This window comes from Homo sapiens, chromosome 6 (assembly GCF_000001405.40).
Source record: "Homo sapiens chromosome 6, GRCh38.p14 Primary Assembly".
NCBI classification, from domain to species: Eukaryota; Metazoa; Chordata; class Mammalia; order Primates; family Hominidae; genus Homo; species Homo sapiens.
This window is the reverse complement of record NC_000006.12, coordinates 86,937,218-86,951,193: the sequence shown is the minus strand read 5'-3', so window position 1 is coordinate 86,951,193 and position 13,976 is coordinate 86,937,218. Positions and strand designations below refer to the sequence as shown.

At 40.2% G+C, this 13,976-nt stretch overlaps 1 protein-coding gene across 2 annotated transcripts in view, besides 2 other annotated features; it reads right to left on the bottom strand.

Moving 5' to 3' along the window:
- HTR1E (5-hydroxytryptamine receptor 1E) overlaps positions 1–13,666 on the bottom strand; it is a 79,152-nt gene extending 65,486 nt beyond the window's left edge. The window contains exon 1 of one of the 2 annotated variants that reach the window (XM_011535789.3): positions 13,310–13,666. The gene's annotated coding sequence lies outside the window, so the exon portion shown is untranslated. The remainder of the gene's footprint in view (positions 1–13,309) is intronic. The other variant, NM_000865.3, reaches the window with a different exon arrangement.
- Positions 12,772–13,326: an enhancer, noted in NCBI's record as "H3K4me1 hESC enhancer chr6:87647586-87648140 (GRCh37/hg19 assembly coordinates)". NCBI's record gives its function as "activates a minimal SCP1, AML or CMV promoter by ChIP-STARR-seq in primed H9 embryonic stem cells {active_cell/tissue: H9 hESC(primed)}" and the evidence as "EXISTENCE:reporter gene assay evidence [ECO:0000049][PMID:30033119]".
- Positions 13,327–13,882: an enhancer, noted in NCBI's record as "H3K4me1 hESC enhancer chr6:87647030-87647585 (GRCh37/hg19 assembly coordinates)". NCBI's record gives its function as "activates a minimal SCP1, AML or CMV promoter by ChIP-STARR-seq in primed H9 embryonic stem cells {active_cell/tissue: H9 hESC(primed)}" and the evidence as "EXISTENCE:reporter gene assay evidence [ECO:0000049][PMID:30033119]".

Below are 13,976 nucleotides of genomic sequence, written 5' to 3'. Positions count from 1 at the left end.
CCTCATTAACCAAATTAATTCTTGAACTGGTTACTCTTGTTTGTGTTATCAGCATCATGAGCCCTTTGATCATGACAAAGACTCACTATGGAATCTGAAAGAATGTCAATAATATTATCAAAATCATCATGACAAGGAAGGTTCTGCAATGAGGCATTGAACACTCCTCCCCAAATGGTGCTGAAAAATCTGAGCACTGGATCAATAAAAAGTTAAAAATAGACAAACCTTGCTTTATTATTAGAGAAGATGATCACCTTTGGAGAAGGGATGCAGCTCAATTTCAGTGTAGAAAAACAGATTTGAAAAAATCTTCCCAAGTTTGCCCCTGTTATAGATTTTTGGTTTACCCCAATGTGTATGGGCATTGTCATAGCATTTTAACCCCCAAAGGCACTTTTTATAGAATTTGGTCCAATTTACTCATCTAATGACAAAACTGAGGCCCAGGAAGATTTGATAGCCTTCTTAGGGTTATGAAACCAATTGGACACAACTTTAGAGCCAGTGATGAAGCAGGTCTTATTATTTTTGAGTGCTTATTATGTGGCAGGTACTATGCTAAGAATATTGCATACATTTTCTCATTTTGATTCTGACAATCCTATGATGTTTGTATTATCATTACATGATATTATTCTTATCACAGATAAGGAAACTGAGGCAGAGGGTAGTTAAGTACCTTGTTCAATACCTTTGCAGCCTAGAAGTGGCAGGGCTTTGTCTGAATTCCAACCTAACTGCTCCAAAGCTTAGGCTCCCACCCATTCCCCTAAGGCCATGGACCTTCCCACCACACTGTCATTCCTTCCGTGCACTTCATCTCTATCAGAACTTTGTAAGGCCTTACACAAAGGTTCTCTACTCAAAGAACAGTTTGCATTTTAATAACAGGCAATGTAGATATCTGAAAATATTTTTAAATAATAGAAGTTGAAAGGCAGCCTGGATGTGAATAGTATGACATTAAATATAAGATAACATGTACTTTTTCAAGAATAGTGAAATTTTGTATAATTCAAGGGAAATAACCTGACTCTTAATATTTAACAATGATTATGAATTTGAACATAATATTCTTGTTTAGAAAATGTTTTATTCACTCTGCATTCAGGTATTAGACTAACTTGTGATGGAAAATTTCACTATGCAGCTGTGTCTTCATTTGCCATATGCCACGTTCTCTCCAAGCCAGACATGATGAAATCTGATTTACATTTGGGAGAGACCAGCTGCCTCCCCAGTAAATACGTTCACTCAGTGCTTGGTTAGGTAACGGGAGCCTACTAACCAAGAGCCAAATGATTCAAGCATTCTGCAAAGAGCAACTGGTTTAATAGGAAGGTATATTAAAAAAGACAACAACACTGTGAAAGGTGCTAAATAAAACACAGTGAAAGGTATAGTTACTTGTTAAAGTAGAAATTATAATAATAAAATGTATTTTAATTTTAATTAAAATTAAATAAATGTAATTAAACTTATTATAATAAAAATCATAATTTTTAGTTACAAGTTGTGATAACCTATAATCCTACAGTAGCATCTGGTTATTGCTAGTAACTTAAATCTATTTTCTGGCCTCCTGGTCTACCTCAAAACTTTTGATAGAAATGTTCAATTATGTGGATGGAAACTTCTGAAAGCTTAATACTCAAATATATCATAAAGATGACGATAGGCTTAGCTCTTGAGAAAGAACAACAAGCAGAGAAAAGAGAAGACCTAAATTTGAATTTTAGCTTGGCTGCTAAATCTCTGCATGAGTGAAATAGGTCATTTACTCTCCTGCATTTTCTTTCTGCCTTCAAAATAACAACAGCAGCAGCAGCAGCAGGGACACACTTACGTAGTAATTAAAATATACCAGATACTGTTTTAAGCACTTTTTCACATATTAACTTACTTAACCCTGCAAAAACCTCTCTGAGGTGATAAGTATTAGCATTATTTTCATTTTATAGGTAGGGAAGCTGACTGGGGAAAGGTCATATAACCTTCCCTCGTTACACTGTCAGTGATGGAACTAGGATTCAGTTCCAGAATCTGTCTTAACTACAACTCATTTTCATCAATTGAGAGGGTAAAAATCTCTGGATTATTAAAGACCTTTTAAAAGACAAATGACAGAAATCTTCTTAAATTGGCATAAGTGAGAAGGAGACTTTACTTGCTCATGAAACTTCAGTGTCAAGTGTAGATCAGGCACAGGTGGATCCAGAAACTTAAATAATATACCCAAGAATCTTTCTCCATCTCTGGGCTCTTCCTTCCTCCATGTAAAGTTTTATCCTCAGGAGGCACTCCCCTTATGTTGGGTCCCTGCAGTTCCTGGCATGTATCCTTAAATCTCCAAATCCAATGTAGGTGATGGCACCTGAACACCTCTCAACTGAGCCTCATTGATTCCAATTGGTCTGCTTGGATCACGGCCTATCCCTGAACCAATCACAGTGCCCTGGAGAACAAGATGTTTGGATGGGCCTGGGTCCCATGTCACTCTTGGAGCCAAGGGTGCATTCAGTGTGACCTGAACGATATGGGCCAAAAACGACAGATGGCCACCCCAATTAGATTGTTACTTCAGCAATTTCCAGCATTAAAAGCCTGCAAATTTCTGCCAGTGGGAGGTGAGAGGAAGTGGTAGGGAAGAGGGAAGAGAAGACTGTGGTGTATATATTTATACTTGGATTACCAAACCTCATTTCCCCCTAGTGACTTCAAGGACTCCTTTGCTACTTTTACTAAGATAACTAGAATAATGAATGACAAAGACTTATGTAAAAATTTTCTTTTCATGCTATAATTTTACAGTATAAAAACTGACAACCACCTAAAAGTCCAATAGTAATGACTGGTTAAATAAGATATAGTATATCCATACAACAATATTATATACTTATTAGAAATGATGTTTTCAAATAATAATTACATGTGAAACTTATTAAATAGATAATGTTTGCAGCCATAAAAAAGAATGAGTTCATGTCCTTTGCAGGGACATGGATGAAGCTGGAAGCCATCATTCTCGGCAAACTAACACAGGAACAGAAAACCAAACACCACGTGTTCTCACTCATAAGTGGGAGTTGAACAATGAGAACACATGAACACAAGGAGGGGAACATCACACACTGGGGCCTGTCGCGGGGTGGAGGGTAAAGGGAGGGTGAGCATTAGGACAAATACCTAACGCATGCAGGGCTTAAAACCTAGATGACAGGTTGATAGGTGCAGTGAACCACCGTGGCACATGTACACCTATGTAACAAACCTGCACATTCTGCGTATGTATCACCAAACTTAAAGTAAAATTTTTTAAAAAAAGGAAAAGAAACTACTTCACAATTGTTGGAATTGATTTAAAAAATCTGAATTCAATTATTAACTATATTTCTTACAGTTCATCCAAATTCCACTTTGGATATAGTCAATATTTACTAATTTATGTTGTTGAATCAATAAATGGAAATATCATTTAAAAAATAATGTTAATTAGAGAAAGCAGAACACAAGAAAAGTATATAACATACTCCTGATTTCATTGAAAAAGAAACCACTCTTTTCTCCCTATAGAGAGGGAAAGCACTAAGGCAGAAATTCATCAAAGTATCAATAGTGGCTGCCTCTTGGTGGTGGCAATAAGAGTAACTTTAACTACATTTTTTATACTTTTCTGCATTTCCAAATTTTCTACAATGAACATGTGATATACTTATAAGCAGGAAAAAAAATCCCTTAAAGTGGTTGAGTGGAGGAGTTTGAACTTTACTTGTTTTGTATCTGCCAAATTTATGCCAATTTACAGTGAGAGAAGAAATGTAGATAACACAAGAATCAAACAAAAAGAACTCTTTGAGATAACCAAGAGTTGGTTTTATTTGCCTACTTCAAAAGGTTGTTTTGTGAGTTCTTAAGTAACTATAAATATTTATACAGGTGTTGCTACAATGCCAGAAAATTAAAATAATGAGGATAATTATTTATATTACAAAATATTAATGATATCACAAGATCACATAAGCATTGTACAATTCCACTAGATACATGGAAACCTTCTCTGTGCATTTTTTTTTTGAGACAGAGTTTCGCTCTTGTTGCCCAGGCTGGAGTGCAATGGCGCGATCTCGGCTCACCACAACCTCCGCCTCCTGGGTTCAAGCGATTCTCCTGCCTCAGCTTCCTGAGTAGCTGGGATTACAGCCATGTGCCACCACGCATGGCTAATTTTGTATTTTTAGTAGAGACAGGGTTTCTTCATGTTGGTCAGGCTGGTCTCAAACTCCTGACCTCAGGTGATCCGCCTGTCTTGGCTTCCCAAAGTACTGGGATTACAGGTGTGAGCCACCGTGCCCGGCCTCTGTGCATTTTAATTATGGTTCAGTTTCTAAAAATTCTGTTTGCAAGCCACTTTTCAGGGCAGCATATCTAATGTGTTCAGCAAGATAAGATTAAACCATATAAAGTTATTGTAAAACTTGGGGTAGCTGGATTTGATACATACACTTAAAACACAACTGACAAAAATCATATCTAGTTACTTCAGTTGTCCTCAAAGGACCATGGAGTAGAAGCTGAAACATATAGTCATCTTCATCATTGTCATTATGACCATCATCTCATTTTTTTAGATTTCAGCATAATTTTATATATAGCCATGCATCATACATTCTGAGAAATGCATTGTTAGGCCATTTCATCATTGTGTGAACATCAAGATGTGTACTTCCACAAACCTAGATGGTGTAGCCTACTGCACACCTAGGCTATGTGGCATAGCCTATTGCTTCTAGGCTACAAAGCCAGACAGCATGTTACTGTATTGAATACTGTAGGCAAATGTAACACAATAGTATTTGTGTATCTAAACGTAGAAAGGGTACAGTGAAAATATGGTATAAAGATAAAAAATGGGATACTTGTGTAGGGAACTTATCATGAATGGAGTTTGCAGGATTAGAAGCTGCTCTGGGTGAGTCAGTGAGTCAGTGTTGAGCGAATATGAAGGCCTAGTACATTACTGTACACTACTGTAGACTTTAAAAACACTGTACACTTAAGCTATACCTAATTTGTAAAAACCATTTTTTCTCTCTCCAATAATAAGTTAACCTTATCTTACTATAACTTTTTTACTTTATAAACTTTTTAATTAGGCCGGGTGTGGTGGCTCATGCCTGTAATACCAGCACTTTGGGAGGCCGAGGCAGGTAAACCACCTGAGGTCAGGAGATTGAGACCAGCCTGGCCAACATAGTGAATCCCCATCTCTACTAAAAATACAAAATTTAGCTGGGCATGGTGGCACATGCCTGTAATCCCAGTTACTTGGGAGGCTGAGGCAGGAGAATTGCTTGAAACTGGGGAGGCGGACGTTGCAGTGAACTGGGATCACCACGCCACTGCACTCCAGTCTGGGAGGCAAGAAAGAAACGTCATCTCAAAAAAACAAAAACAAAAACAAAAACAAAACAAAAAACCCCCAAACTTTTAAATTAAAAAAACCTTTTTGACTCTTTTTGTAATAGCACTTAGCTTAAAACACATTGTATAGCTATACAAAAATATTCTCATTATTTATAACATTATTTTATAAACTTTTTTCTATTTTTAAAACTTTAAATTTTTTCTTTCCTTTTCACACTTTTTTGTTAAAAACTAAGATACTCACGCCTGTAATCCCAGCACTTTGGGAGGCTGAGGCGGGCGAATCATTTGAGGTCGGGGGTTCAAGACCAGCATGGCCAATATGGTGAAATCCCGTCTCTACTAAAAATTCAAAAAATTAGCTGGGCATGGTGGTGAGTGCCTGTAATCCCAGCTACTAGGAAGCTGAGGTGGGAGAATTGCTTGAACCTGGGAGGCGGAGGTTGCAATGAGGTGAGATTGTGCTGCTGCACTCCAGCCTGGGCGACTGAGACTCTGTCTCAAACAAACAAACAAACAAACAAACAAAACTAAGATACAGACACATTAGCCTTAGCCTACACAGGCTCAGGATTATCAGTATCACTGTATCTATTTACACATCCTGTCCGTTGGAAGGTCCTTCGGGGCAATAACATGCATGGAGCTGTCATCTCCTGTAATAACAATGCTGTTTTCTGGGATACCTTCTGAAGGACCTGCCTGAGGCTGTTTTACAGTTAAACTTCTTTTCACTTTTTTTTTTTAATTAAGTAGGAACACACCCCAAAATAATGATAAAAAGTATAGTACAGTAAATGTATAAACCAGTAACAGTTGTTTATTATCAAGTATTATATACTATACATAATTGTATGTGCTATACTTTTATACAACTGGCAGCACAGGTTTGCTTACACCAGCCTCATCACAAGCACATGAGCGATACATTGTGCTACAACAACATTGCAATAGCGATGATGTCACTAGGCTGTAGGAATTTTTCAGCTCCATTATAATTTGTGGGACCACTGTCATATATGTGGTTTGTGGGTGACCAAAATATTGTCAATGTGCTGCATGGCTGTCTATTATCTATTTTATCCTGGTAAGTCTGTTATTATCATCACTTTCATGAGAGAACTAAGGTATGAAACAAATAAATGGCTTTTCCAAGGTCACACACACAGCAAGGTGTAAAATTCACATCTCTTAATCATTGATTTGCTGTTCTTATATCACTATCTATAAAGTGGAACTGGATTCTCAGCATTAATAAAACTAATAAAATCTTGATATTGTATAGAGCTTTATATTTTACAAATTCTTTGACAGATTATCTAATTTCAGTCTGAGAACATTACTATGAGATAAAACCACGAGGTGATACTGAATTGAGTCTTTATCAAACAGCTTCTGATGTCTTATATTGTGGCAGGCAGTATCTCAGGTGGCTCTCAATGATTTGGTTCCTGTAGGTATTCCTCCCACTGTGTAATCCCTTCCCCTTGAATTAGGCTGAAACTAGTGACTTGTCTCTAATGAGGAACACAGCAGAAGCCATGGGATATCACTTCTGATATCAGGTTACAAAAAGACCTTGGCTTCTATTTTGCTATCTTTCAATCTTAGCCCTTGCTCCAAGGACAGCAAGCTGCAACATCTGCATGAAGCACTCTGTTTTGTTAGTAGCCCTATAGAGAGGTCCATGTGGTAGCAAAAGAACGTCTCCAGCCAGCAGCCAGCTGGGACCTGAGGCTTGTCAACAGCCACGTGAGCGAGCTTGGAAGCGTTACCTTTCCCCAGTTGAGCCTTGAGATGTCTGCAGTCTCGGCTGAAACTTTGCAGCCTGTGAGTGACAGACCTGAGCCAGAGGACCTAGCTAAGCCATACCCAGATTCCCAACCCATGGAACTATGATCATAGAGATAATAAAAATCTGTTGCTTTAAGCCATTAGGTTTTGGGGTAATTTATTATTTAGCAATAATGAATACACACATTTAATCCTCATAAATAGCCCTATGACATAGTACTGTTATGTGAGCCCCAACAAATGAGGAAACTGAGGTTTAGAGATGTGAAAGCAGTTAATGAATGGCAGAGCTGGGATATGAACCTGGCTTTCTGGACTCGAGAGCTTGGGCTTGAGCCCCATGCTGTGTTACCCCCTAGTAGTATAACACAAGGTGCAGTTTGACATCACAGGTGACAATGAATCACAATAGCATATTCTGTTTTGAGAAACTTCCCTGAAAGGAGGCTGAGGTAGACAGGGCATGTATTATTGTCCCCATTGTAACGATGACAGACCATGCAGCTCATACAGCCAAGAGAATGGGGTATTAACCCAGGCCTTCTGACCCCAGGTCCGTAGAGTTGGGCCTGTGCTTCACTGCCACGCTGGCACTGTGGCACTCACTGTACATTCAGCAAGCCCTGAGGAAGCTGGCGGGAGCTTAGCTGACATGCACAGGGTAGGTCAGTTTGTTCTCTGGAGAGCATTCCATGAGATGCAAATATCTTCACACAGGCCTGGGTTAATACCCCATCCTCTTGGCTGTGTGTAGACCCTCTCACCCTTAGATTCAGACTCATTTTACTAAACAGGCAAAACATAGCTACAAATTTCATGTATTTTAATATAACAGGACTATGTGGTAATAGTAACAATACTATGTAATCATTAACTGTTAATTAAATGCATGCTAATGGTACATAAGTCTGAGAAAGGGTACTCAGTACACTTAATGCAATGTGAGAGATTATCTCAAAGCCAATGGGACCCGGCTGGACATCTTTTGTGCTGGAGAAATTACTCCATCTGCATCACAAGAGCATTGCCTCTGTCACCAAGCTGAAAGTAATCAAGTCTTGTGAGCTTTGAGACTTTTGCTTCCTCTAAAGTCATTTTTCATCCCTTCTTGGTAAGATGCTTCATTTATATGTAAGTCACCAAACCCTGGGGTCAGTACAGTCTGGTTCTCCAATGCCTCGGACATAAAGTAAAACCTTGATGGTCTTAGAAACAGGCTTACTGTATTGCAGAGAGGGTGAGGAGATTACATTGTTTTACCAGTTTACAATCTATGAAATAAAATATGCTTGCCAATATGAATGCATCTTGTAAATGATGTATTTGCTAATTATAAATTAAGTTACATATTTAATCCTTGATTTTTTAGAGCATTGTGTAAGGAATTGAATTAGGTTCAGAAGGAAAGAATGGTAAGAAAGTTAAAATGGCTCAAATGAAAGCATAATAAAAGAGGAAATCATGCTTCTTTCTTTGAATGTTAAATTATGATGAACTATATGGTAGGATAGTGTTTATGGATGACTGTATATCAAATTCTTGTGTTAGGTAACAAATACTTCCTTGACTAGGGCAGAGTTCAACATTAAAATTAGGACTATGTAATAAAGTTTAAAATGTAAGGTACTTAAGTAAGTATACAATTCTTGTTTACTTACAGGAAAGAATTAATTACAATGACAAACTACACTGTCAGAAATCATATAAGGATAAATATTACTGAATTCAGAGGGATGAGTTTGGAATGTGGAATCCTTTTCTGTAGGTTCTTCTTCCTCCATCTTCCTCAGATGAGGTGGGCTTTCCTTTCCCATTTTTCTTGGATGCTAACAGCATCTTTTATACCTCTCAGGCATGTTTTCTGCCCAACAGTGTACAAGCGTAATATAAATCCCTATGATTATATTGTCGCTAACCAGGCAAGCTATTGTAGCTAGCCACCTTACTGGGTTCTCTTATTCTTTCTAATGGCATTTTTATGTATCCCCTTGAATTTTCCTAGTAGCTAATTATTTAATCTGTCATTAATAATAAAACTTTTCCCTGACCAATATTTATAACACTTCCCTCCTTCCCTCCTTCCCTTCCTTCCTTCCTTCCTTCCTTTCTTCTTTCCTTCCTTCATTCCTTCCTTCCTTGCTCCCTTCCTCCCTCCCTAATGGGGTCATTAGGAGGATCTGAGAGTTTTAGAACTGCTAGCTGCTGCTGCTGGTAGCTATTTCTCAAAATATTTTCTTCTTGCTATAAAATGCTTTCCTTCTCATACCAGATTTCATAAAGACCTTCCATCTGGTCTGCACTGATAACTAGAATCCAGAGATGCTCATTCCTCTTACAACTTGTAGTTTAAAATGATCCAGATGCAGAAGGATTAGGTTTCATAGCTTCTTCTAAAGGATTTTGTCTTCCTAATCCTACAACTGCATGTGTTGAGAATTGATCAGCATGAGAGAGTGCTAACAATAAACCTATTAAAGTGTCCAGTTTTTCATTTGACGTGTTTTAGGGGAATACAACAATGGGATCAAAACACTGACATCTATTCAGGTAAGGACTGCAGTAAACCAGATAATCCACAGTGCATGAGACAAAATAAGAGAACTAAAAATGAAAGACAAAATTATAGTCAATCTGTATTAGAAAGAGGGTTCTCAAGAATTTTATCAATTTGTTGTGATCCGGGAATATGCCAATTGATTGAGTGATCTCTATAAATTCTGGTTCTCAGTTTCTTAATCCACAAAATGTGGGAACGAATAAAAAGTAGCTGGGATTTTGATGAAAGTCCTTTCATCACCAGGAAGATGAACTTTGGTAAGTTGACTGACCTAAGCCCCAAATTTTAGGGGCCACAATACTGGTTCTAGAAAATGATTCAGGGAGGAGAAAACAAGAGAGAAGTAAGTCACTCTAAAGTGCTGCTGCCCCATTTCTCTTCCCTGTTCATCTGTCCCCTCGTCACTTGTGACGGCACACTCATCTTCAATGTTTCCCTGGGGTTTATGTTCATATAATTTCACATGTAATAAAAATCTGGTAGGTGCAGAAGAAAGGAGCATAAAGCATGAGATGCTAAACTCACCTCTGCCTTGAGATGGCCTTGATAATTTACGGCATAAAAAGTAAGTTCCTATTTGGTAGAAATTCAGCTTTTGATCAGTCTCAAGCTTATTTTTTTGTGTAAATAAGCTTGTAGAAATAGAGGGAATGCTTTCCCACATTAGAGCGTTAGATTTGATCTTTCACTTTTAAAGGGTAGTGCAGAAATAGAATTCCAGGGTGGGCAATCAAAACAAACATGAAAAAAATGATCTGTGTGTAAAAGTGAGATGTAGGGAATTAGACTTGAGTAATGAGAAGATGACACAAAAGTTCAGGGCCTGAGGCTTTCTGCAAAGAGACCTACTTTCTTTTTCTTTCTTTTCTTTTCTTTTTTTGAGACAAGGCCTTGCTCTGTCACCTAGGCTGTAGTGCCGTGGCACAAACTTGGCTCACTGCAACTTTGGCTTTCTGGGCTCAAGCGATCCTCTCACTTCAACCTCCCAAGTAGCTGGGACTACAGGTACACACCACTATACTTGGCTCATTTTAAATTTTTTTGTAGAGATGAGTTCTCATTATTTTGCTCAGGCTGGTCTCGAACTCATGGGCTCATGTGATCCTCCTGCCTTGGCCTCCTAAAGTGTTGGAATTACAGGTGTGACCCATCATGCCTGGCTGAGATCTACTTTTCATTTGCAGCCTTGGTATCTTGGTGGTGGTGGGGGTAGCATATTGAGCCCACCTGGGGAATGGGTGGTGCTTGAGCCAGGTGGGGACAATGTGCTGTGAATGATATACCTTACTTCCCTCTTCAATAATAACCCCATCACGCAGCAGGAAATTGAAATATATTGCAGTGTTACCTGAACTAGAGGTGTGTCCTGGATTTTGTCTCTTCCTAGGCACCACTTCTGAAAAACGCTGACTTCGTTATCTTCCTCAAAAGAATGGAAACTTATTTACATGATTGTTGCTGACCAGGCATCGATAAGAAGAAATGGGGAGCAAATATTTTGTATAGACACCAGAATGGCTAATAAAGGTGACATCACGCTGAGTTGCAAGGTAGGCACCATTCCCTTGGGCAAATGTTGAGAGACATGAGCCATCGTTTCCATGCACTTGGTCTGGGACTAGGCCTTGAATGAAGTCATTATGGCAGAAGAGGAAAGAATGAAAACTTGATTTTACTATGCTTGTGATGCTGATTTCTGTGGAATTTAAAACTTGTTAGCTGGTGGATACACATTGTTAATTTGAATACTCTTCATTATAAAAATAATCTGCTAAGTTTTCATCCCTGGAAATTGTTATGAAAGCGAAAACAAGCACGTAAGGGAATATTTGAACATGCATATACCTAATGACCAGAGTCATGGCTACACTTTAAAAGGCTCCTTTCTAGCTCTGTTACTAGAAGTCTCAATTGAGATCTATAGCAATCCTTGGAGCTTCTGCAGCCCATGTCAGGTGATGATGACACAATAGTTAAGTTCTATCAACAATGATGAATCAGGATTTGAGTGAGTTTCTCTATATAGCTCTCTTAGTGATGAAATACCTCTATGCAGCAAAATAGTTAGTGGTGAGGTGCTATGCAATTTTAGAAATAAGCAACATACTCTGTTTTAAATATGATACAGAAACTGAGCTGAGTCCCACTTAGGAGGTGGGCTTCATCATCACAACTCCGTGGGCTGGAGGCTAAAGCTCTGAAGGGAGGAAAAACAGAGGCAGGCATATTTTGTGCATTTGTTAAATGGGCCTCAAATGCCTCCATTCATTTATTTGTTGAAGACAGGGTCATCTCATTTAATTCAGCAGGAAAGCAACTGTACCAGAAAGAGAAAAGCTGTCTCAATCTTCTCTGTATTTCAAAGGTATTTCACATATGCTCCTCATGAAGGAGACCGCACAGGGAATCAGACCCACGTGCCTGCTTTGCCTCTCTTGCGCAGGATTAAGTAAGGGAAGCCCCTGATTCACAAGTGCATCCTGGCTGTTTAAGGTTATGCATATTGTGTCTGAATGTACAACTATGATAAATATATATTCTGGAGCAATGTTAAATTCAGCTTAGGACGATGTACTGCTTAGAGCTTTGAGGGAAAACATAAGAATGATAAAATGAGCCTAAATTATTTTGGAAAAAACACTGCTCCCCCAACCCATTTGACGATCTATTATTTCCTCCTGGGCTGCTCCCTCCCCAAGAGATTTGGTGCAGGAGGCAAGGAAGGACAATAAGAAAGGTTAGGAAGAAACACCTTGGGATGCTGACACCATCTGCCTTATCCTTCTAACTCAAGGACAAGCAGCGTTGGGTTGAATACAAGGTCCTTTCTTCCAAAACTGGGCACAGGCAGAAATATACATATAGATGCAAAACCACTATGATCCTGTGATAGGAGCTGGAATCACTTCCCTTTAGACTCAATTTCCTTTCCTTTTCGTTAGGTAGGGGGTCAGCCTCTCACCTTGCAGTATTGGGTGGAGATGGCTTAAGACCAAACTTCTCATCTTAACTCTTACTTCCAAGATTTATTTTGTATTTTAAAAAAAATGAGCCTGCCTCATTACCTCCACACCTGGGCATTTTGTTTATCAGGACTGAGCACAGTATTATTTTCTGAGGGCTGGAGCAACAGTGCAGTCCTTTCTAATCAAAGGTTTTTTAATCAGCTGGCTTTGAAATCACACAGTTCTTCCGGGGTCCCTGGAGCACACCACCTCCCTGTGATTTCTACTCAAGTTTTCCCTGGCCCCCCCCAGCACCCGTTCCATACCTATTTAATCTTTAAGCTGCCTCTAATCCTTTTGCAAGGAAGCAGGATGAAATGCTCAAACCACAGTTATACACAATGTTGATTCTCAGGTTCACACATTTGAGGAATTGTTTGAACAAGAAATGCTCTCTGTACTATAATCCAGGGTGCAGGCACGGTGCCCGGGCGACCCTCAGTCTCCCTCCGACACCCCGCATCCCAACTCCCGCCGCCTTTGCGCCTCAAAGCTGGCAAACATCCCCAAGCCAGAGCTGGAGTACCTGGAGTGGGTGGGGGTAAGAAGGGAAGCCAAGGTCGTCCCGGAAGGTGTGCGCCCCTCACCTTGTGGACGGTGCGTGCAGCCGCGCCGCACTGGGCAAACCGGCACGTCCAGCTGGCTCCAGAAGTCTCACTCGGAACCCGCTCCTTTTTCTCCTGAGCTGGATCAGAGCACTGCTTCTCTCAACATTCGATTCTGGAGTACGTTGAGCCCAGGGCGTTCTCCCCGCCAGCGTCCTTGCCCGCGCCAGTGCCCGCCGGGGTGCGGCGAGACAGAACCTGGGAGCGCGGCGCGCCGGGCAGCCCGAGGCACCGCTGGTGGCAGGCGCTGCGCTTCGCCGAGTCTGGGCGCCTGGACTGGAAGAGGAGGCGAGAGGGAGAGAGCGGGGAAGAGGAGGAGGAGGAGCAGGAGCAGGAGCATGGGCAGGGGCAGTCTGCTAAATCATCTACGCAGGTCGCAGCCTCCCGGGACACCGTGAACGGAGAGGGGGGTGGTGGGTGTGGGATGAAAAGATGAGCCCGGGTGTGAGGCAGGTGGTATTGTGAACTGGAGGTCGCAGCTCCGAGGTACTCCAGGTCTTGCTTAGGTTATAAAAGAGAAATTCTGGAGCTGATGGCGCCTTAGGGCTCCCGGTTGCAGACACTAGAGGGCAGGGCTGTCCATGTTAT